The sequence below is a fragment of the Homo sapiens genome, chromosome 4, assembly GCF_000001405.40.
Source record: "Homo sapiens chromosome 4, GRCh38.p14 Primary Assembly".
Taxonomy (NCBI): Eukaryota; Metazoa; Chordata; class Mammalia; order Primates; family Hominidae; genus Homo; species Homo sapiens.
Window position 1 is genome coordinate 186423351 of NC_000004.12, and position 25428 is coordinate 186448778.

Below are 25428 nucleotides of genomic sequence, written 5' to 3' on the forward strand. Positions count from 1 at the left end.
TGAAACAAGGTGCAACTGGACTCACGAGGTCATGGGTCAATTTCCTGTGAGTGTGGGCTTAGACCGTCCAGCTTGTTCTCCTGCCACCCACTCTTAGCATGGAAGGACGAAGCGGGTGACAATCAGCCAACATGTGCTCAAATAGCTAGATGTTCGATACTGAGTAGAAAAATCCTTACACATCAGCTGAGTTTTTCCATGTTTACCCATATATTTTGGCATAGAATGAACTAAATCTGTGATTTTTCAGCATGTTATGGTTGTAGAGTTCATGAACTATTATTCCATCTTGGGAATACTTTGAGAAGTAAAAGTAAATTTTATTATTGCAAAAGATGCAGTAATATTTAGTATTTTGTTTTAAAAGTCAAAACTTACTCAGCAAATGCACGGCATACAGATGGTGAAGAGGTGATTCAGTAAAGTTTTGGTTTCAAGAAATCCTGGCCCACCTAAGTAATCTCCAGCATAGCAAGGTTTATCTTAAAGATAAAAAAGGATCAAAAGGCCCTTGAGAATTAGGCAGCTACCCCCTCTGTCTCCCTCTCCCTCGTGCAAGATTATCTGCTCCCCACCTATGACTGCTCTCTCCCTTTCCTCAGAGTGGATTCTTCCCCACAGCCACTTGTACTGGCCTCACATGGTCACCTGTGCCCCACTTTATCATGGCTCACTGGCCCCTCTTATCATTTTCTCCCTCCCAGATTATTGACAGATGAATGGGATTTTCACAGTTTACCTTTTCAATGTGGCTCTGTATCCTTAGCAAACCTATGGATTCTCTGCCAGTGGCAGAATAGAGACAGTTGCAAACTCTTTTCTTCTCCCATCGAAAGATGAAGTCTGATTTCCCTCTCCTTAACACTGGCTTTGCCTTTGAGATTTGCTTGATGCATAGAATACAAGAGAAGTAACTCAGAAGAAGAACTTCCAAGGTTAGGTCAGAAGGAGCCTCGCAACTTCTATCTGGGTCTCTGGTAGAACCACACTCTTGCCCTTGGAACCATGAGCTGCCACTTTGCTAGAAAGACCTTGTGAAAAGGCTCTTGGACAACACAGATAGGAGAGGAGTCCAGCTGAGTCTTGCCTTCCTATGCCCCCGCCAAGGTGCCAGCTACAGGAGTGAAGCTATCTTGGACCCTTCAGACCAGATCAGCTATCAGCTGAATACCATCCACCATCCTGAGTCAATGCCACGTGCAACAGCATCACCCACAGGAGCACTACCCAAATCTCTGACCCACAGAATGATGAAATTTAATACAATGGTTGTTTTAAGCCACTAAGTTTTAGGGTAGTTTGCGATGCAGCAGCAGATGCAACGCCTCTGTTCACAGCGGCTAAGACTCAAAGGGACGCAAACCAAGCAACCTACGTCTACCCCAGCAAGGACAGTGGGTAGAAATTTCCTTACAGAAAAGACTGCATGTCATCAGGAATCATAACTGAAATCTCTCAGTTAATTCCTATCCTAAATTTCCCTCGAGGATATAACAAGGAGAAACAGTATTAAGTTACAGCTAGACTCTGGTGGGATTTAGATTAAAAATATAAAAGTACATCTAGATGCTAGATGAGACTAGTGACGTCACGAACCAGACTGAAACTTAATCACATTAAGAAGCAGGTAATCATATTCAAACGAGATTTGTACTTGGTAACTTAAGGATAATTACATCTCAAAGCCAAGGACTATCTTTGTCAATCTCATGTTTTCATGATCAGCTGAAGCAGAGAAATTAATACATTTTAATGATGAAACTTAGCCTACATGTATTTTGTAGATATTCACTTAGAAGTGAAAAATATGATGTAAAATCAGTTATGTGTAGATATTTTTGGAGAAAAAACCTTAAAACTTAGAAACCAGTTACATAGTCATTATTAACTTAAAACAGATCATACTGATATATTTCTCATATTTCATGCCCTTCCTTAAAGACAATGATTTTTTCTCAAACATCAAACATTTCAGCCTTTACATATTTCTCCAGAAACCACCACAAGCATCCATATAGTGTGTTTACTGTCAGGTTTATTCTGACTTGCCTTCACAACAGTTGACTCTCAGTTTAGCTTGTTGATTCACAGAAAAAAAAACCTGAATGCCACCAAGAAATTTCCAAGAATTGTTAAAAAAAATTAAATGTGAAAAGAAGAACCTCTGATCCTTACTCAATGTGTTCTCTATTTTTCCCTCGGACTAATTAAGAAAAGCATGTTAATTATAATGGATTCCAAATGTGCTAACCTCCAGTTAGTATTTTTTAAAGTATTGACTATTTTGGCCAGTCCAAGATTGCCTATTAGATTATAAGCTCCTCTGAGACCCAGAGGCCATGCCTTTGTTGTCATTGACCAGAAAGGGAGAAAGAGTAAATCTCTGTTCATTTTGGGGGGTGTGATAACTCCCATTTCAGGTGTGCTGAAGGTGGCAGTGATGGACATTTGCTGTTTTTACCATCTAGCATCTGTTTATTGCTTTTTTCTCTCTTTTTTTTTTTTTTTTTTTTGAGACACAGTCTCACTCTGTCACTCAGGCTGGAGTGCAGTGGCCTGATCTCGGCTCACTGCAAGCTCTGCTTCCTGGGTTCACGCCATTCTCCTGCCTCAGCCTCCTGAGAGGCTGGGACTATAGGCACCTGCCACCAAGCCTGGCTAATTTTTTTGTATTTTTTTAGTAGAGACGGGGTTTCACTGTGTTAGCCAGGACGGTCTCGACCTCCTGACCTCGTGATCTGCCTGCCTCGGCCCCACAAAGTGCTGGGATTATAGGCGTGAGCCACTGTGCCTAGCCTGCTTATTGCTTTTTTCAAACTAGCTTCTCCTTGAGGAGAACAGCCTTCCCTATTTCATCCATCTGATTTGGGTGGACAGAAGACCTACCTCCAACTGCAAGGATGAGACGTCACGGGCTTCAGTTGATCAACACAGCTCAGCACCTTTGCAGACAGATTTGCTTAGAAATGTCCAAATAGTCTATAGCCAAGGTGGTATGTTTTAGGGCTTCTGAATAAATAAGAGCTTTTATTCTCCGGCTTGCAGGAGCTCCTGAAAAGCAATCTCCTTCTTCTCCTGAGTGTGATGTTGAAGATCTGTAACTACAGTCACCAGTTTGCCGCCAGGTGGGAACACCAGTTGGGAACAACACGGGCCTGCGAGGGATGCCGCTGAAAGCAGGAAAGATTAGTGACACAGACAGAAGCTGGACGAAGTCTCACCTCAGGTGCACATCTGGGCTTCGCAATTTTATGAACCTGTAAGTTCTCTGATTCCAAAGGTGAGTTGTATTTTGGCTTATGTTTTGCAGCTGAAAGATTTCTAACTTCTTTTCCACCACAGAATCTTTGAATGATTTAGATATAAACTTCAAGCTCCATTTAGGTCAGTGATTTTTGTCTGTATTGTTCACTGATGAATCCCACTGCCTTGAGCACAGCCTGGCAATATTAGGTGCTCAGTGAATATCTGTTGATAAAACGCGCAAAGTTGGTTCAGCCTTTAAGAAGATGAATGTTGTTAATAACACATGCCTAATGAAAGAATCTGAGTACATATTCCTAGAATACACACATAAAATTTAAAACACCTAAAAATGCTTAAATACATTTAAAAAAACAAAAAACAAAACTATAACGATTGGTGAGATTCAGCCAGTAGTGTGTTGGAGCTGGCTTGTCCTGGCTTTGGAGACTGAGCTGTATACATCTCCTCCTGATTCCGCATCCAGTGTCTTCATGTTGGCAGCCTGAAATTGACCAGAGGGGGCATTTATACCATGGTAATCGGCAAACACTGCAAATGAGGGGTTTATTTCCTCTCCTCTGCCCTACCCTCCCAGAGAGCCAGTTCAGCATTATTTTTCCTAGAAAAACCTTTTAGTGAGGTGAACACTTTCTTTTAAAAAAATAAAATCTTCCCATTTCAGAGCTGGAAGGAAACTCTGAAGTTTTCGACTTCGGTATCCTAAGTTGACAGGCGAGGAATCTCTCCATGAGCTAAGTTACGGAGGTGACAGCACACCCCGGACCCTCAATTTGCAAGATCCAAATCACACAGCCACTCCGCAAGAAAAAGCGTGGGAAATAATCCAAACACATGCGTCTCTAGCGAGATGCCAGGCATTTGTTGGGGAAAATATGTCCCTCCAATTATATGATGTCAGGGATCACTCTAGATGGGGTTTGTGTGGGTCAAATGTGGTACCAGGACCCCTAGATCTGGCCAGGCCTATCCCAGGCTCACTGTCCTGCAGGGACTAAATACCCAGCCGCAGCCTAGTGTGCTATCTCTGTAGGTTGTGTGAAATGACTCAACATTTCCTGCTCTTTCTCAAAGGTAAACTCACACCAGCCCTTGCGCGGCAGGCCAATTCTCCCTGACGATCACACAGACAGGCCTGCATGACGGTCACACAGACAGGCCTCCTGACGATCACACAGACAGGCCTCCTGACGGTCACACAGACAGGCCTCCTGATGGTCACATAGACAGGCCTGCATGACGGTCACACAGACAGGCCTCCTGACGGTCACACAGACAGGCCTGCATGACGGTCACACAGACAGGCCTCCTGACGGTCACACAGACAGGCCTCCTGATGGTCACACAGACAGGCCTGCATGACGGTCACACAGACAGGCCTCCTGATGGTCGAACAGACAGGCCTCCTGACAGTCACACAGACAGGCCTGCATGACGGTCACACAGACAGGCCTGCATGACGGTCACACAGACAGGCCTCCTGACGGTCACACAGACAGGCCTCCTGACGATCACACAGACAGGCCTCCTGACGATCACACAGACAGGCCTCCTGACGGTCGCACAGACAGGCCTGCATGACGGTCACACAGACAGGCCTCCTGATGGTCGAACAGACAGGCCTCCTGACGGTCACACAGACAGGCCTCCTGACGGTCACACAGACAGGCCTCCTGATGGTCGAACAGACAGGCCTCCTGACGGTCACACAGACAGGCCTCCTGACGGTCACACAGACAGGCCTGCATGACGGTCACACAGACAGGCCTCCTGATGGTCACACAGACAGGCCTGCATGACGGTCACACAGACAGGCCTCCTGACGATCACACAGACAGGCCTCCTGACGATCACACAGACAGGCCTCCTGACGGTCGCACAGACAGGCCTGCATGACGGTCACACAGACAGGCCTCCTGATGGTCACACAGACAGGCCTGCAGAGCGCTCCAGTTACACAGATAGATTTCCACAGCACGGCCGTCACATGGAACGAATAGTTAAACCTAGGGAAATCAGTGCCCAGACGTCAAAGCTAGAAATGAAACATAAGACGGTCAGTAGGAGCCTTACATGGCCTTCTCCCTAACCTGGAGCAAGCTGAAATAATAGACAGTTTTACATTCCTAGTGCCAGGACCCGTCTCGGGTCGACAAAATCTGAGACGAGTCAAGGTAACAGAGGCAGCTGTTTGAATAGATTCATTGGAGGGTCTAAGGTAGCTCTCTGGGCCAAGCTGTAAAGGAGATGAAGTAGAAATGATCACTCCGGTGCCACAGTAGACGGGCCTTGAAGGTACTGGGGCCTCACAGCTCAATCGAACTTAGGAAGCATTTCTTTGCCTCTGACCTTCTAGTTGAAACAAAATTCGTTACCAATAGACTTAGGCAATGCTATACTGCACGCAGGCGCATAACCTCAACCTATATTAGCACTAAGAAAATTGTAACACTTTGAGTTGGTCTGGTGGAATTCTCTCTGGCCTTCTCCCTGCATCCGGTTACAGCAATAAATTCCCTTCTTTCCTAGTTTGTCTGCTTCTTATTATTGGGCCCCAAGAAAACGCAGCGAGACCCAGCTTGGTTCTGCGAACACTTGTGCACCAGAATCGAAGGTAAGGCAATAAAAGACCTTGATCTTTATTATATCCTGCGAGCCAAGAATAATGACTGTCTTTTTCTGGGAAATAAAATAAATAAATAAACACACATAAGAAGAGATGGAGAAAATTATCTCAAATTTCCAAAAAAAAAAAAAAAAAATCTCGTTTTCCCTCACCTGAAGATGATAAAACAAGGCATTAAAGTAGCACAGACTGATGATCCTGGTGTAATGCAGGCTGTGTATCTTGGTTTTCCCTGTAAGGTACCCTGCCAGCTCCCAGCTAGGACTCTAGGCATCCTCCACACTCCTCCCTGCCCCAGGCACGTTTCCTTGATGCTGCGAGGAGCACGTGGAAGGAATAAGGGCATTGCGGTTCACTGCCGTCCCAGAAAAGCTGCTGTCCCTGTCGCTGATGTCTAAGAGTAGTCTGGCACTGGCTGGGAGTGGTGGCTCACTCCTGTAATCCTAGCACTTTGGGAGGCCGAGGCGTGTGGATTGCCTGAGCTCAGGAGTTCAATACCAGCCTAGGTAAAACGGTGAAACCCCATCTCTATTAAAATACAAAAAAAAAAAATAGCTGGGTGTGGCGGCGTGTGCCTGTAATCCCAGTTACTTGGGAGGCTGAGGCAGGAGAATTGCTTGAACCTGGGAGGCAAATATTGCAGTGAGTCGAGATCAAGCCATTGCACATTGCACTCTAGCAGCCTGGGCAACAGAGTGAGACTCCATCTCAAAAAAAAAAAAAAAAAAAAAAAAAGAGTAGTCTGGCACAACTGTAAAAGCAGTGTAACCCTGATTATGTCAACTTTGTGTGGATAAATCAGGTGTTATTTTCTTTATGGGATTTTTTTTTTTTGAGGCGGAGTCTCGCTCTGTTGCCCAGGCTGGAGTGCAGTGACACGATCTCAGCTCACTGCAAGCTCCGCCTCCTGGGTTCATGCCATTCTCCTGCCTTAGCCTCCTGAGTGGCTGGGACTACAGGTGCCCACCACAATGCCCAGCTAATTTTTTTATATTTTAGTAGAGACGGGGTTTCACCGTGTTAGCCAGGATGGTCTTGATCTCCTGACCTCATGATCCGCCCTTTTACCCATACTTAGTTTTTGTTTTCCTTCCAGAGGAAAGAAGAAACAAATGCCAATCTAAAAACATATGGAGTTTCTATAGTCAGTCTATTTTTTCTTGGCCGATCGTTTGATCAGTAATAACTTTGCACTTAGCATGACCTAGGTAATGACATTATTTCTATCATTATTGCATTTTCCCTATTTGGATAATCAATTAAGTCAACAGTATTTAGAATTTTGCTGCTCAGACTGAGTCACTGGAAAAAAAAAAATAAGCCAGTGAAAATATAGACCCCAGATTAGAGGCCCAGTCGGGATCAGGCCGTGGCTGACGAAGTGGAGTGGAAGCCGCAAGAACAGGGAGAGGCTCCTGCGCTGACCCAGGGAAGTGTGCTCCGGCAGGCGCTGCATCTCTCCTTTGCTCAGACACCCAATGCTTGAATGCTTGGAACAACTGTCTTCTTCTTTTTCTTTTCTTTTTTTTTTTTTTTTTTAGAAGGAATTTCACTCCTGTTACCCAGGCTGGAGTGCAATGGCGCGATCTTAGCTCACTGCAACCTCCGCCTCCCGGGTACAAGTGATTCTCTAGCCTCACTCTCCCCAGTAGCTGGGATTACAGGCATGCGCCACCATGCTCGGCTAATTTTGAATCTTTTTTTTTTTCAATGGAGATGCGGTTTCTCCATGTTGGTCAGGCTGGTCTCGAACACCTGACCTCAGGTGATCCACCCATCTCGGCCTCCCAAAGTGCTGGGATTACAGGTGTGAGCCACCACGCACGGCTTTTTTTTTTTTTTTTTTAGATGGAGTTTTGCTCTTGTCACCCAGGATGGAGTGCAGTGACACAATCTCTGCTCACCGCAACCTCCACCTCCCAGGTTCAAGTGATTCTCCTGCCTCAGCCTCCTGAGTAGCTGGGATTACAGGTGCCACCATGCCCAGCTAATTTATTTACTTAATTATTGTATTTTTAGTAGAGATGGGGTTTCACCATGTTGGCAAGGCTTGAACTCCTGTCCACAGGTTATCCACCTGCCTTGATATTTAAAAAATATCTACTGTAAAAATGTGCTTAGTGAGGAACACGTATGCACGCTGGCTAGAGAGAATCAAAATAGGCTCTGCATCAATTACTCAAATTAGTCCAGAAACTGTTCTACAAACGAGCACTGGACTTGGAGAAGCCCACGCCAGCCCTTGACATCCGGGTTACTACAGGAAAACTGCCTGCCTCCCAGGGCTCTTGTTTTCTAATCTTGAAATGAGGAATTGGAGTAAGAAACTCTAGTACCCATTCGTATTTTAACATTTATTGGTTCTGAATGTTCTTACCTCCTTGTAGTGCTGAGCCAGTTTCTGCAGATAATCTAATATGCATATTTCCATCAGCCCCAAAAGGCAGGTCTGCTGGAAGAGTGGAGGAAGGACAGGCGCTCATCGAGTAATCGCCAAGGAGAGGCATTTAGATATTCCGGCTACTTAACTTAGAAAATTAATATTAAGTATCATTAGCATTGGCATGATTGTTCAAATGACATTATCAATTTCTAATAAATAGATCAAAAACTCATGCATGGATTCAGCAGTTATTCAGTAGGTGTCAAATGGTCTGTGTTCAAATATTTGAAGTCTAGCGGTGGGGGTACTATTTAAGACATCACAAGACAGTACTGTATCAACAGCAAATAAGCTGGTTAGTTCAGGGAAGAGGAGAGTTCATCTGGATGTGTGTATTTCATAAGGTCCCGATGGGGACAGCGGCACTCATACGTGGTCTTAGAGAATGTATGTGGCTTGAATAAGTGGGGGAGCGTTCACAGGACATTCCCTGGGGGCTGAGATAGCGAAGGGGGACAAACCTTCTCGAGGAAGAGTGCCTGCCCATCTGAACACAACAGAAGCTTCCTCTGGGCCAGTGGAATGGCAGTGGGAAGGGAGCCTCGGCACCCACTTCTGGAGACAGGACATGTCAAGCTCAACTGTCAGTAATGACCCACGCATAACTATCATACTTCCCAACGCTGTGCACACACGGCATTACCCACCCGTAACCATCATACTTCCTAACACGGCACACACGACATTACCCACCCATAACCATCATACTTCCTAACACCGCACACACGACATTACCCACCCATAACCATCATACTTCCTAACGCCCCACACACGACATTACCCACCCATAACCATCATACTTCCTAACGCCCCACACACGACATTACCCACTCGTAACCATCATACTTCCTAACACCGCACACACGACATTACCCACCCATAACCATCATACTTCCTAACGCCCCACACACGACATTACCCACTCGTAACCATCATACTTCCCACCCATAACCATCATACTTCCTAACGCCCCACACACGACATTACCCACTCGTAACCATCATACTTCCTAACACCGCACACACGACATTACCCACCCATAACCATCATACTTCCTAACGCCCCACACACGACATTACCCACCCATAACCATCATACTTCCTAACGCCGCACACACGACATTACCCACCCATAACCATCATACTTCCTAACGCCCCACACACGACATTACCCACCCATAACCATCATACTTCCTAACGCCCCACACACGACATTACCCACTCGTAACCATCATACTTCCTAACACCACACACACGACATTACCCACCCATAACCATCATACTTCCTAACGCCCCACACACAACATTACCCACCCATAACCATCATACTTCCTAACGCCCCACACACGGCATTACCCACTCATAACCATCATACTTCCTAACGCCCCACACACGGCATTACCCACTCATAACCATCATACTTCCTAACGCCGCACACACGGCATTACCCACCCGTAACCATCATACTTCCTAACACCGCACACACGACATTACCCACTCGTAACCATCATACTTCCTAACGCCCCACACACGACATTACCCACCCATAACCATCATACTTCCTAACGCCCCACACACGGCATTACCCACTCATAACCATCATACTTCCTAACGCCCCACACACGGCATTACCCACTCATAACCATCATACTTCCTAACGCCGCACACACGGCATTACCCACCCGTAACCATCATACTTCCTAACACCCCACACACGACATTACCCACCCATAACCATCATACTTCCTAACGCCCCACACACGGCATTACCCACCCATAACCATCATACTTCCTAACGCCCCACACACGGCATTACCCACCCATAACCATCATACTTCCTAACGCCCCACACACGACATTACCCACCCATAACCATCATACTTCCTAACGCCGCACACACGGCATTACCCACCCGTAACCATCATACTTCCTAACACCACACACACGACATTACCCACTCGTAACCATCATACTTCCTAACGCCCCACACATGACATTACCCACCCATAACCATCATACTTCCTAACGCCCCACACACGACATTACCCACCCATAACCATCATACTTCCTAACGCCGCACACACGACATTACCCACCCATAACCATCATACTTCCTAACGCCCCACACACGACATTACCCACCCATAACCATCATACTTCCTAACGCCCCACACACGACATTACCCACTCGTAACCATCATACTTCCTAACGCCCCACACACGACATTACCCACTCGTAACCATCATACTTCCTAAGGCCCCACACACGACATTACCCACCCATAACCATCATACTTCCTAACGCCCCACACACAACATTACCCACCCGTAACCATCATACTTCCTAACGCCGCACACACGGCATTACCCACCCATAACCATCATACTTCCTAACGCCGCACACACATTACCCACCCATAACCATCATACTTCCTAACGCCCCACACACGACATTACCCACCCATAACCATCATACTTCCTAACGCCGCACACACGACATTACCCACCCATAACCATCATACTTCCTAACGCCCCACACACGACATTACCCACCCATAACCATCATACTTCCTAACGCCCCACACACGACATTACCCACTCGTAACCATCATACTTCCTAACGCCCCACACACGACATTAACCACTCGTAACCATCATACTTCCTAAGGCCCCACACACGACATTACCCACCCATAACCATCATACTTCCTAACGCCCCACACACAACATTACCCACCCGTAGCCATCATACTTCCTAACGCCGCACACACGACATTACCCACCCATAACCATCATACTTCCTAACGCCCCACACACAACATTACCCACCCGTAACCATCATACTTCCTAACGCCGCACACACGGCATTACCCAGCTCATAACCCATCATACTGTCCTAACGCCGCACACACATTACCCACCCATAACCATGCATACTTCCTAACGCCCCACACACGACATTACCCACCCATAACCATCATACTTCCTAACGCCGCACACACGACATTACCCACCCATAACCATCATACTTCCTAACGCCCCACACACGACATTACCCACCCATAACCATCATACTTCCTAACGCCCCACACACGACATTACCCACTCGTAACCATCATACTTCCTAACGCCCCACACACGACATTAACCACTCGTAACCATCATACTTCCTAAGGCCCCACACACGACATTACCCACCCATAACCATCATACTTCCTAACGCCCCACACACAACATTACCCACCCGTAGCCATCATACTTCCTAACGCCGCACACACGGCATTACCCACCCATAACCATCATACTTCCTAACGCCCCACACACAACATTACCCACCCGTAACCATCATACTTCCTAATGCCCCACACACAACATTACCCACTCATAACCATCATACTTCCTAACGCCCCACACACGACATTACCCACTCGTAACCATCATACTTCCTAACACCCCACACATGACATTACCCACCCATAACCATCATACTTCCTAACGCCGCACACACGGCATTACCCACCCATAACCATCATACTTCCTAACGCCCCACACACGACATTACCCACCCATAACCATCATACTTCCTAACGCCGCACACACGACATTACCCACCCGTAACCATCATACTTCCTAACGCCGCACACACGGCATTACCCACCCGTAACCATCATACTTCCTAACACCGCACACACGACATTACCCACTCGTAACCATCATACTTCCTAACGCCGCACACACGGCATTACCCACCCATAACCATCATACTTCCTAACGCACCAAACACGACATTACCCACCCATAACCATCATACTTCCTAACGCCCCACACACAACATTACCCACTCATAACCATCATACTTCCTAACGCCCCACACACGACATTACCCACTCGTAACCATCATACTTCCTAAGGCCGCACACACGGCATTACCCACCCATAACCATCATACTTCCTAATGCACCAAACACGACATTACCCACTCGTAACCATCATACTTCCTAACGCCCCACACACGACATTACCCACTCATAACCATCATACTTCCTAACGCCCCACACACGACATTACCCACCCATAACCATCATACTTCCTAACGCCCCACACACGGCATTACCCACTCATAACCATCATACTTCCTAACGCCCCACACACGACATTACCCACCCGTAACCATCATACTTCCTAACGCCGCACACACGGCATTACCCACCCATAACCATCATACTTCCTAACGCCCCACACACGGCATTACCCACTCGTAACCATCATACTTCCTAACGCCCCACACACGGCATTACCCACTCATAACCATCATACTTCCTAACGCCGCACACACGGCATTACCCACTCATAACCATCATACTTCCTAACGCCGCACACACGGCATTACCCACCCGTAACCATCATACTTCCTAACACTGCACACAGGGCATTACCCACCCATAAGTATCATACTTCCTAACGCCCCACACACGGCATTACCCACCCTTAACCATCATACTTCTTAACGCCCCACACACGACATTGCCCACTCATAACCATCATACTTCCTAACGCCCCACACACGACATTACCCACTCATAACCATCATACTTCCTAACGCCCCACACACGACATTACCCACCCATAACCATCATACTTCCTAACACCGCACACACGACATTACCCACCCATAACCATCATACTTCCTAACACCCCACACACGACATTACCCACCCATAACCATCATACTTCCTAACGCCCCACACACGACATTACCCACCCATAACCATCATACTTCCTAACGCCCCACACATGACATTACCCACCCATAACCATCATACTTCCTAATGCCCCACACACGACATTAGCCACCCATAACCATCATACTTCCTAACGCCGTGCACACATGGCATTACCCACCCATAACCACCGTACTTCTTAACGATGTGAACACATGGCATTACCCACCCATAACCACCATACTTCCTAACGATGTGAACACATGGCATTACCCACCCATAATCATCATACTTCCCAATGAACTGCACACACGGCACAACTGCAAGTGTTCCTACCTAGTTTCAGTATCATTTTAAACATTTTCTAGTTCGACTTGGTCATAAAAATAAAGTTTAGAAATTACTTTGTGCCCTTTTTGTAGAAAAGAAATAAAGCATTTTGAAATGTTAACACAGTGGGCTGGGTCCAATATATTAAACACAGAAACTTTAATGAATAGTAGATACACAGCAATCTTCCCAGCTGTGATTCCTGGAGATTTTTTGGACTGTATTCATACCTGGCATTCTAGACAAAGGAGGGGAAAGAAAGTATGAATGGACAAAAGGCCAAGCTAAGAAGGCAGCAAAGCTTTTTTAATTCAAATTGTAAGAAATAGTTTGTTTCAACAGAATGAAGGATAAAAACCATATGATCATTTCAATTGATGCTGAAAAAACGTTTGATAAAATTCAACATCACAACAAGATAAAAACCCTCAAAGAACTGAGTATAGAAGGAACATAACTCAACATAATAAAGGCCATATACAACAGACCCACATTAGTATCATACTGAATGGGGAAAAACTGAAAGCCTTTCCTCTAAGATCTGGAACATGACAAGGATGACCACTTTCACCACTGTTATTCAACATAGTACTAGAAGTCCTAGCTAGCGCAATCAGAGTAGAGGAAGATGTAAAGGACATCCAAATTGGAAAGGAAGAAGTCAAATTATCCTTGTTTGCTGATACTGTAATTTTATATTTAGAAAAACCTAAAGACCCACAAGACTATTAGAACTGATAAATTCAGTAAAGTTGCAGGATACAAAATCAACATATAAAAATCAGTAGCATTTCTATATGCCAACAGTGAATAATGTGAAAAAGAAATGTAGAAAGTGATCCCATTTACAATAGCCACACATACAATTAAATACTTAGGAATTAACCAAAGAAGCGAAAGATCTCTGTAATGAAAACAGTAAAACACTGATGAAGGAAATTGAAGAGGACACCAAAAAATAGAAAAATATTCCATGTACATGGATTGGAAGAATTAAAATTGTTAAAAATGTTCATACTATCCAAAGGAATCTACAGATTCAATGCAATCCCTATCAAAATACCAGTGATGTTCTTCACAGAAATAGAAAAAACAATCCTAAAATTTATATGGAAACACAAAAGGTCTAGAATAGCCAAAGCTATCCTAAGCAAAAAGAACAAAACTAGAGAAAATCACATTACCTCACTTCAAATTATACTACAGAGCTATAGTAACCAAAACAGCATGGTACTGACATAAAAATGGACACATAGACCAATGGAACAGAAGAGAGAACCCAGAAACAAATCCACACACCTACAGTGAACTCATTTTTTACAAAGGTGCCAAGAACATACACTGGGGAAAAGACAGTCTCTTCAATAAATGGTGCCAGGAAAACTGGATGTCAATATGTGAAAGAATGAAACTAGACCCATATCTCTCACCAAACACAAAAATCAAATAAAAAGAAATTAAATAATTAAATATAAGACCTCAAACTATGAAACTATTACAAGAAACACTGGGGGAAAATCTCCAGGACATTGAATCTCCAGGTCTGAGCAAAGACTTCTTGGGTAATACCCCACAAACACAGTCAACCAAAGCAAAAATGGACAAATGGAATCACATGAAGTTAAAAGACTTCTGCACAGCAAAGGATATAATCAACAAAGTAAAGAGACGATCCACAGAATGGGAGAAAATATTAGCAAACAACCCCTCTGACAAGTGATTAATGACCAGAATATATAAAGAGCTCAAAAAACTCTACAGGAAAAAAATCTAATAATCCAATCAAAAACTGGGCAAAAGATTTGAATAGACATTTCTGAAAAGAAGACATACAAGTGGCAAACAAGCATATGAAAAGGTGCTCAACATCATTGATCATTAGAGAAGAGCAAATCAAAACTACAATGAGATGTCATCAAATCCCAGTTAAAATGGCTTATATCCGAAAGACAGGTAATAATAAATGCTGATAAGGTTGTGGAGAAAAGGGAACCCTTGTACACTGTTGGTGGGAAAGTAAATTAATACAATCACTATGCAGAACAGTTTGGAGGTTCCTCAAAAAACTAAAAGTTGAGCTATCATATGAGCCTGCAATCCCACTGCTGGGAATGTGCCCAAAACAAAGGAAATCAGTATTGTAGAGATATCTGTACTCCTATGTTCGTTGCAGCACAGTTTGCAATAGCTAAGATTTGGAAGCAACCTATGTGTCCATCAACAGATGAATGGATAAAGAAAATGTGGTACGTATACACAATGGGGTACTATTCAGCCATAAAAAAGGAATGAGATCCAGTCATTTGCAACACCATAGATGTAACTGGAGATCATTGTGTTAAGTGAAATAAGCCAGGAATAGAAAGACAGACATCACATGTTCTCACTTATTTGTGGGATCTAAAAATCAAATCAATTCACCTTATGGACCTAGAGAATAGAAGGATGGTTACCAGACACTGGGAAAGGTAATGGAGGATTGAGCAGACATAGGGATGGTTAACGGGTACAAAAAAATAGAAAGAATGAATAAGACCTACTATTTGATAGCATAATAGGGTGACTATAGTTAATAATAACAATTATATATTTTAAAATAACTTAAAGAATGTAATTAGATTGCTTGTAAATCAAAGGATAAATGCTTAAGAAGATAAATACCCCTTCTCCATGATATGCTGATTTCACATTGCATGGCTGTATCACAAGATCTCATGCACCCCATAAATATATACACCTACTATGTATCCACAAATTTAAAAAAATAGTTTGTGGATTAAAAACAAAATGGAACCCTAGAAATGTGTAACAGTAGTTGTTTTACAGACAGGAATACTAAAGTAGAATACCTCTGCAGTAGGTAGAATACCCAAAAATGTTGAAGTTAATGAGAAAAGCAATGGGGAAACAGCAGACACTACCTCTTCCCCAGCTCCTGGGCTAGAAGTAGAATTCTCCATTGCTTTTATGATCGTGAACTACGTTTGTAGAGTGCTTTGTAGCCTAAAACTTACCTATAATGTGAATTAATTCTTGCAACAAGAATATGTGGTCTGATTCTCACTTTATAAGTGAAAAAACTTAATCTGGTCAGAAAGTGGTAGCGGAAGCAAGACTTGAACCAAGCTTTCCGGAAGGGATGGAACATGCAGCACAGAGCATTGCTGTTTCCCTCTCATTTCGCAAGCTCTTGTGGGCTATTCTGCTCTGTGGAATTCCACTGTGGGACACAGGGAGGGTGAATCTGACGTTCTGGAGTAGTGTGGCTCTCAACTGGTTTTGGTGTAAGGACACCTAAAACCAAATGATTTCGAAGACCTTCTAGTTAAAGATAGTGCAGAAAGAGGCTGTTTCCTTTTTAAAAATCTTTGTATCCCCAACCATTAAAGAAAGAATGGATGAAAGGCAAACTCATCAATGAAAACGGACTAATGCAATCCTGAACCCACCTTTTGAAGGCTACCCTTCATAGGCTCAGAAATCTGAATGCAGGGGGATGCTGAGAGTCAACATAATTTCTTCAGAGCTCAGTAAACACATTTCCCCAAAGCCCATTGCTGAAAGTGATCTCCAAGGGGGAAGCAGGGTGAAATAATGAGGGAATCAGTGATCTTCAGATCTCAGCATTAAGGAGGTGTGGCTAAGAGCTATTATAGCAAAGCACATACACCTCCTGAGTGTTGAAAGGGAGAGGAAGGCTGGACACAGTGGCTCATGACAGTAATCTCAGCACTTTGGGAGGCTGAGGCAGGAGGATCACTTGAGCCCAGGAAGTTGAGGCTGCAGTGAGCTGAGATTACACCACTGTACTCCAACCTGGGCAACAAAGTAAGACCCTGTCTCTAAAAACAAAAACATAAATGAAAACAAACAACAACCAGAAAAAAGAAAGAAAGAAAAGGAGAAATAAGTTACCAATGGAAAAAAAATGACAGATTTACTAAAAGTATTTTGGAGATGGCAAATCCAAACAGAACTGCTTCACATCACTTCCTCTCCCTAACTCCCCTCCCCTCTGTCCCTGCCTTTGTTATTCCCATTTTTGTTTACTTACTAATTTATCCAATACCTGCATGATAAATAATTAAAATGAATAATGAAAATGAACCAACATGGAATCTACTGCAGAGGTTTTAATTGGAAAAAGAATAAAAGCAAAAGGCTGATGAAAAAAAATACCATGCAAGATAAATTAACCAAGGAAACGGAAGAATTCTAACAGCCCTTTCCTTTCAGAGACAACTCTTCCCCTCCAACCCTATGAATTCACAAAGCCAAGGGCTTAAATATATATTAAAATATAGTAGAAGATTATCTAGCAGGGCCTTTGGAAACAAAGATAATAGAAGATTTTAAAAAATAATAGAAGATTAAATGAACTGAAAGAACTCCAATAACAAAGGAAAGCAAAATATAAAAACTTTATAAAGATAAAAAGCAACATAAAAAACAGAATTTAAAAACTAAAATACGAGGAAACAGTTAACAGCTGTAATGAAGTCATACAGAATAAAATGTAAAAGAAAAACTATAAAAATAATTAGTAATAAATATGAAACAAAGAGTTCAAATACATTTTAAGTGACGTTCCTGAAAAATAAAGCTTTTTTTTTTTTTCAAAAATAGAGTAAAAACAAGGATTACATAAGCTTCCAGATACAGAAAACGAGTCAGGTTCTTGAGGGAAAAGATCTGGGTAGCCTCAAAAACGTGCACAGTAAGACTAAGTGCCAGAAGGCAGGTCAGCAATGTCTAGAGTTTATAACCATGAATTTTATAGTCAGTTTAGCTTCCTTACAGTTACAAAGAGATCAGGCATTTTTAAACATTAAAAGCTGAAGGAAGATAATGATAGTTATTGCTGTATAACTAAACATCCTAAATGTAGTGTCCTTAGAAACCCCAACTTTTATCTTGCTCATGAATCAGACCTGGCTGGCTGGGATAACTCATTCTGCTTTACTCAGCATCAGCTGAAGAAGCCTGGAGCTAGGGGCTGGGTCATCGGGGGGTTCCCTTACTCATGTGTCCGATGTCTGGGCAGGAAAGTTTCAAACATCTGTGAGCTGGAACTGCTGGGGCTCATCTATTCTCTCTCCATGGTTGCTCCAATATGGTGGCTTCAGAATAGCCTGACTTCCTACATGTCAACCCAGGGCTTCAAGTTGCAGGCCACGAAGGAGAACATCTGGAGGAAGCTGCGTCAGCCCTTGTTGTCTACCACGCCATCCTTCCATCAGTCACAGAAGACCACCCTGACTCAAGGGAATAGGAAATAGATTCTGCTGGATAGGGAATGCCAAGGTTCTGAAAGAACATGTAGGGCTTCAAATATGGATGCAACTTACCAGAATAATATTGAAAATTCTCAACTGTACAGTGAAATTCAACCAAGAATCAAACTGAGTAAAAAATCCACAGTATAAAAAATGCTAATGTTAATTTTTAATGCATTAGAGATTGGATCGATGGTCCAACATCTGGCTCTTCTACCATCCTACTTCGTCTGAGTCTTCTGTCCTTGATTCATCTTTCATCCAGTCGGGACTCCAGGGTCAACCACTCCATGAATCTCTTAAAATATCCTCAATTCCTTTTTTCCCTTCTTTTCCAGATGTCACACAAAATCTCGACCCTGGGTCAATTTAACTTTCCCATTCTCCACTCCTCCCCCCAGGATATTAAGAACTGTTGGTAAAAATCATGTATTTTGGGCCAGGCATGGTGGATCACTCCTGTAATCCCAGAACTTTGGGAGGCTGAGGCGGACGGATCACTTGAGGCCAGGAGTTCAAGACCACCCTGGGCAACATGGCGAAACCCCATCTCTACTAAAAATACAAAAATTAGCTGGGCATGGTGGCACGTGCCTGTAATTCCAGGTGCTCGGGAAGCTGAGGTGGAAGAATTGCTTAAATCTGGGAGGCAGAGGTTGCAGTGAGCCGAGATCGCACCACTGCACTCCAGCCTGGGCAACAGAGCGAGACTCTGTCTCAAAAAAAAAAAATAAATAAAATAATGAATTTTATAGCCAGTTTAGTTTCCTTACATTGTTTTATGTTTACCATAAAACAATGCAGAATATAGTCACTATAAATTCATAGTCTTCGACCTTGAATAAGACTTCAAAGCTGCCTACAATTCCTATTTATTCTCTTTCTCCATGACAATTATATCAATGCTTTTTTTTTTTTTTTTTTTGAGACGGAGTTTCACTCTTGCTGCCCAGGCTGGAGTGCAATGGTGCGATCTCGGCTCACTGCAACCTATGCTTCCTGGGTTCAAATGATTCTCCCACCTCAGCCTCCCAAGTAGCTGGGATTTACAGGTGCACACCACCACGCCCAGCTAATTTTGTATTTTTAGTAGAGATGGGGTTTCTCCATGTTGGTCGGGCTGGTCTTGAACTCCTGACCTCAGGTGATCCACCCACCTCGGCCTCCCAAAGTGCTGGGATTACAGGCATAAGCCACCGCACCTGGCCTATCAAGCCTTTTATACTATACTTACACCTTCTAGCCCACACCCACTCTCAGTGGACATCACACTCAAATGCACAGAGAAAATAGAGACCCTCAAATAGATGCACCCTCAACGCTCCTCCATTATATTTACAATCTTGGCTGAAAGTGGCAATGATGAGGGTGAGGAACAAAGGTCCATGCCTCCTCCAGACCATGCTGTAAACCACCTCTGCTGCTTCTCAGAGTGGGTGCTATTGGCATTTTGGATACAGCGATTTTCTTGTTAGATTTTCCCACATATTGTAATACTTTTAGCATCTCTATCCCTAGAACAACATAAACCATTAGCAAGTCAAGTCACTGAAATAGGCAATACATATCCTGAGATATTCATAAAAGCCCCTCAAGGATTGGGACTTGGTTGAGATTTTCAGACCGGTAAACCCTTTGTGTTACAGATGAAGAAACCGAGGTCCAGAGCACCCAAATCAGTTTCCCAAGAGCATGGTTTAATAGCACTGGGACCGGCAGCCAGGTGTACTGGCGTTATGCCCCAGGCTCCTTCTACTAGGCGACAGGTTCTGCTCAACTCCACAGCTGAAACTGTTTATGTTAAAAATAACACTTAAGCTGTAATGGATGTCAAAATAATACCTGATCCAATGAAAATGAGCAAACCTTTATAATAATAAGCAAATAAATAAATATGTCTGCAAGGAGAGGTGTGCATGAATTAAATATTAATTTCAAACAAATATTAATTCTAAAAATGTCTATATTAATGTTTTCTCAAATAGAAAAACTTATACCAGTTAATAAGCACACTATATCCACTCTGATGCTTTTAAGTGTTAAAAAATATCATATTCAGTAAAAAATGTTTTCTTTAAAGAATTCCTTATTCTCTTTCTGCACCACTTATCAAATATCTTATTTTTTTGTATTTCATTTTAAGATATAGTCGAGTTATTTATTTGACTATATAAAGTAATATTGAATCTTCTACTCTCATTAGTAACCTAATTCTTCAATTTCTCTGATTTTTCTTGAACGGTATGTCATCAAAGTGACTATCATTTTAGCTAAATACATTGTCATATATGAGCAAAATTGCATATTGATAGAATTTCTGAAATTTCTTTTACTTTATTTGACATATTTTACACTAAAAAAAATCAATGTAACTGATAGGACTTCTTAAATTGCCTATTTTAAAAAAATGTATTACCCCTACAATTGTAAGTAATTTGGAAGCCCTGGTACAACCTATACAGTGTTTTTGAATTTGATTCTGAGTGGACAGCTGTAGGAGGGAGAATTACTGAGTCACAAAATGAAACAGATCACAGCACTGATTGGGCCCTACTTCTTATCAAAAGAGGCTCTTCATACACTTAACTCAGCAAGTCACTGTTGAGCACTGGAAATCGTGGAGCTAGGTCCATCCTCACTCCCCTCCCTGTCCAAATGAGAGGAGGAAATGCCCAAACTATTATCTTTCCAAACCTGAGCCGTCTTTTTGTCGCCTCCATCACATGATCAGATTTTTTGTGTGCTCACTGTACTCATTCTTCCCCCTTTTTCTATCATGGATACATCCCAGCCTTTTACATCAGAAATGTGCTCAGTTTTTTTCCCTCCCCAATCTTCTACCACCCTTTGCTTTCATTTATTCCTTAAACGACTATCCCTTTTCTTTTCCCTCGTTCATCAACAACGTTTTGAGAAAGTCCAACGTGAACTTCAAAGCCCAACTGATTATAAATGCTTCCCTCTCTCAATGCTTCCCTGGCCACCATTCAGAATCGGTGCGCCACCTAGGAAACTATCTTTTAGACAGTCGTTACTGAGGGATTGTTTTTGAAGTTAGTAAAATAAAATACACTCCCTGGTTCTCCTGATAATCACGGAAATCGTTTGCTATAAAGCTATTTCAATAAAGCAATAATAGAAAAACAAACATCAGGAAGGAACAATGAGCTCTGAGAGGACCTAGGAACATTAGGGGTAGGAAGATGAATTTAAACTATGCCTCGAGGACAAATAAGGATGTTGCTGACGGTGCCAAAGGTGGGGAGAAAAGGACAATAAGACAAACAGCATGAGCAAAGGCATTAAAATACGACATCCATGACTCACTCAGTGTATTTAAAGATAAAATGTTTAAATGTATTTTCCAGGTGTTACATGGTCCTTAATGATTTTTCAAATCCTTCAGTATATAACATGCAGGCTCATTTGGTTTTCATTTACACACTGTCTCTGTAATTCTGTCATACTTGCCTCAAGTGACTTTACCGTGGAAGAGGACCTGCAGGGAAGCACATAGCACAGGTTGCAGGACAGCTTCGTGGCTCTTGGCTAATTCGAGAATGTATGAGTGGCAGAATTCCATATAGTTATTCTCATCCTAACATACTACATGGAAGCAAGATTGTAAAGAAGGAACACTTGCCTACCTTTAAATACAAAAGGTGACCAATATTTACCAAAAAGAATCTTGCAGTTGTTGTGAACAACCAAATTCATGTAGAACAGTTTGCAATAACAGCTATTAAGAAAACAAATGGTCTGTTATTCAGACCAGAACTCCTGTTGCTCTTTAGATGACAAATGCATGACGCTTTAAATGTATGTACGAAAAATAAATCTTTTAGAAGACTTTCAAAAATACTTCTAATTTAGAGTTTCTGACTCAGCCTCTCAACTTTCATTCCTTCATAATTCACTCATCCATAATAATATTTATTAGAATCTACCTCTGTATAAGGCCCTTTCTAGGAGTCAGGGATGAAGTGGGGAATAAGGTAGACCAGGTCCCTGCCCTCATAGCAACCATATTCTAGGGAAGCAAAAAAGATTTGCTTTTCAAGCACTCCAAGGTTGCTAATTATTTTCCTGGTTTCCCACATGGTTGTTGAGAAACCAAACAAAACTTGTCTTTGGCGTATATTCTTTCTATTCTTTGAAAATTTTGTACATTAGCAAAACACATTCACTAAAGCAAATAATTTTTCTTGGTTAAGTAATTTGGTTATTCTTACCAAAGATATAGAGACCTTCCTTCAATAAACTATAAACATTTTCAGCAAATAACTAATCAGAGTTTATGTGAGTTTTTTCCAAATATGCACAACTTATAGTAGCAAAATATTTGCAAACTCAGTAATCATAAGTTAAACCATAATGATGATGACATATTTTGAAACATTTCTTTGTTTAGTACCTTGAATATGCCACACACTATCCTAAAAGAAAAAAAGTGAAGATTCAAAAGCAGTGAGAGAAAATTTCCCTGTACAGTACACAAAGTTGTATGTACTTCAGTGGGGTTGGTGTTTTTCTCCAGGAGCGTCTACCAGCACAGCTTTGATCCCTTCATCAACAATATCCTAAAATTCAACGCTTTTATGGTTACAATACTGCCTTTCCAAAGGCATGTCAGCTAGATCTAGCATACAGTTTTTGGCACAATTTATTTCCTTCCTTCCTTCCTTCCTTCCTTCCTTCCTTCCTTCCTTCCTTCCTTCCTTCCGCCTGCCCTCCCTCCCTCCCTCTCTCTCCCTTTCTTTCTTTTCTTTTCTTTTCTTTCTTTCTCTTTCTCTCTCTCTCTTTCTTTCTTTCTTTTCTAGGATGGAGTTTTGCTCTTGTTGGCCAGGCTGGAGTGCAATAGTGTGATCTTGGCTCACCGAAACCTCCACCTCCCAGGTTCAAGCGATTCTCCTGCCTCAGCCTCCCGAGTAGCTGGGATTACAGGCATGCATCACCACGCCCAGCTAATTTTGTATTTTTAGTAAAGACGGGGTTTCTCCACGTTGGCCAGGCTGGTCTCGAACTTCCGACCTCAGGTGATCTGCCCACCTTGGCCTCCCAAAGTGCTGGGATTACAGGTGTGAGCTACCGCACCTGGCCTCTCTATTTTTAACTGTGCAACAAAAGATATTCCACAAGAAGGTAACTTCAGTTCCAATTGTTTGTTCTGTGAGAACTTGGTTTAGAGATAGGGTTGGTAAATTGTTAAAGGTGTGTGGTATTTTTAGTCATTTCCCAATTTGCTAAATTACAAAGGACTAGCTTTTTGATAGATTACTGGGTGGCCAATCTGATTGATAGGAAGCTCAAAGACAAGTCTGATCCTCAATTACACATTTTTAATCCTCGAAGCCAGAGGGTTAGTCTTTTCTTTAACTTCCTTTTTAATTAATTTTATTAATCTGTTGCAGATGTTCTTCTGATATATCCATGTTCGTCAAGGAAGATGGACATGAAAGCTAATGTCTTGGCACAAGATTACGTCTAAAGCCCACAACTTAAAATGAGATGGGCTAAACTTCACATAAACTGCATACACCTTGGTATCACTCCTCCTCAAACTACCGTCTCACTACTTACAGACATTCCAGCTTCAGAATCCACGCCTTATATAAGGTGACTGCCACCTCCTGCTCTCTCAAAATACTTCCCTACTTTTAGGTGTCAAAGGAGCAGTAAAGGGTCTAATCCTATAAAAATTCATTTCTGCCAATATGCTAGCCCCTCAGGAAACAGTCTTAAATCATTATACAATTTGCATTTCTTAACATTTTAGGTGCCATTTAGGTCAGTGGGGGGAAATCTCTTTGGGCCAGCCTTTCGATTTTGGTGTCACAGATTGTTTAACAAAGATGACAGCAGTTCCAACCACCAGCGCCAAGGGGCTACTTCCCTCAACACGTCAGAATGCACAGGATTAAAAGAAGAGTTTCCCAAAAACATTGTATCTGGTGAACTTAGATTAGGTCGAATCTTCTAACCCAAGCAAAAAGGCATTATCTTGCTTCCATCCTTATTAAAATCTTGGTGTTTGTTTTACAGTTTTGGTCTTTAAGCTCACAAAACCCAAAGGATTTTTGAATAATTCCCAGTAGTTTTACCATGTATAAAAACTGCCTTCAATTTTATAAGCTTCTTTGATCTCTGCTAGGCCAACATGCTGGGGGGATAAATATCAAAATTTAAAAAGAAATTCTCAGCCAGTAAGAAAAGATAAAGATTAATTCACTATGTTACTGTACATTCAACAATTCACACAGCTCTATTATCACTTTAAGATACCATCCGCTGACCATCATTCTTCCTTCTAGAGAGGCTTTAGTGGTAAGAAATTAACTAAAAGAGAAAAGGAACTTTTAACCTGTCCTCACAGAGATGATGGGTGGGAAAGAAGATAAAGAAATTTATTACTGAAAAATATAAATTGGATCAACATTAGTCACACTAAACAGATTAATGCTTGTTTTCCCAAAGTATTTTTTGGTATTTAGAGTTGCATCCCTGTTCTCTGCTCACCCTGAGGTAGGCCCAGCCTCTGGGGTTGTGGTTTGAGCAGGATCAGCGCTCCACTAGCCACCTAGTTTCTTTGAGTCTTGAGCATCCTGTTTTTCCCAGGCAGCCAGAGTCCCCTGATTTCTTTTCTGCTTTTTTTTGTTGTTGTTGTTTTCTAATTTAGAAACAGGGTTGCACTGTGTCACCCAGGCTGGAGCACAGTGGCACAATCATGGCTCACTGCAGCCTGGACTTCCTGTGCTCAAACAGTCCTCCT

The 25428-nt window shown here is 42.6% G+C and overlaps 1 long non-coding RNA gene across 2 annotated transcripts in view, besides 1 other annotated feature; it reads right to left on the minus strand.

The window, feature by feature from the left end:
* F11-AS1 (F11 antisense RNA 1) overlaps window positions 1–25428 on the minus strand; it is a 214961-nt gene that overhangs the window by 137253 nt on the left and 52280 nt on the right. The window contains exons 2-6 of one of the 2 annotated variants that reach the window (NR_033901.2): window positions 8795–8888; window positions 8268–8418; window positions 2887–3748; window positions 740–886; window positions 379–482 (exon numbers count right to left, since the gene is read on the minus strand). The exons of the other annotated variant lie outside the window; for it this stretch is intronic. This is a non-coding gene — a long non-coding RNA (F11 antisense RNA 1). The remainder of the gene's footprint in view (window positions 1–378; window positions 483–739; window positions 887–2886; window positions 3749–8267; window positions 8419–8794; window positions 8889–25428) is intronic. 2 annotated transcript variants of the gene reach the window in all.
* Window positions 4484–5023: an enhancer, noted in NCBI's record as "H3K27ac-H3K4me1 hESC enhancer chr4:187348988-187349527 (GRCh37/hg19 assembly coordinates)". NCBI's record gives its function as "activates a minimal SCP1, AML or CMV promoter by ChIP-STARR-seq in naive H9 embryonic stem cells {active_cell/tissue: H9 hESC(naive)}" and the evidence as "EXISTENCE:reporter gene assay evidence [ECO:0000049][PMID:30033119]".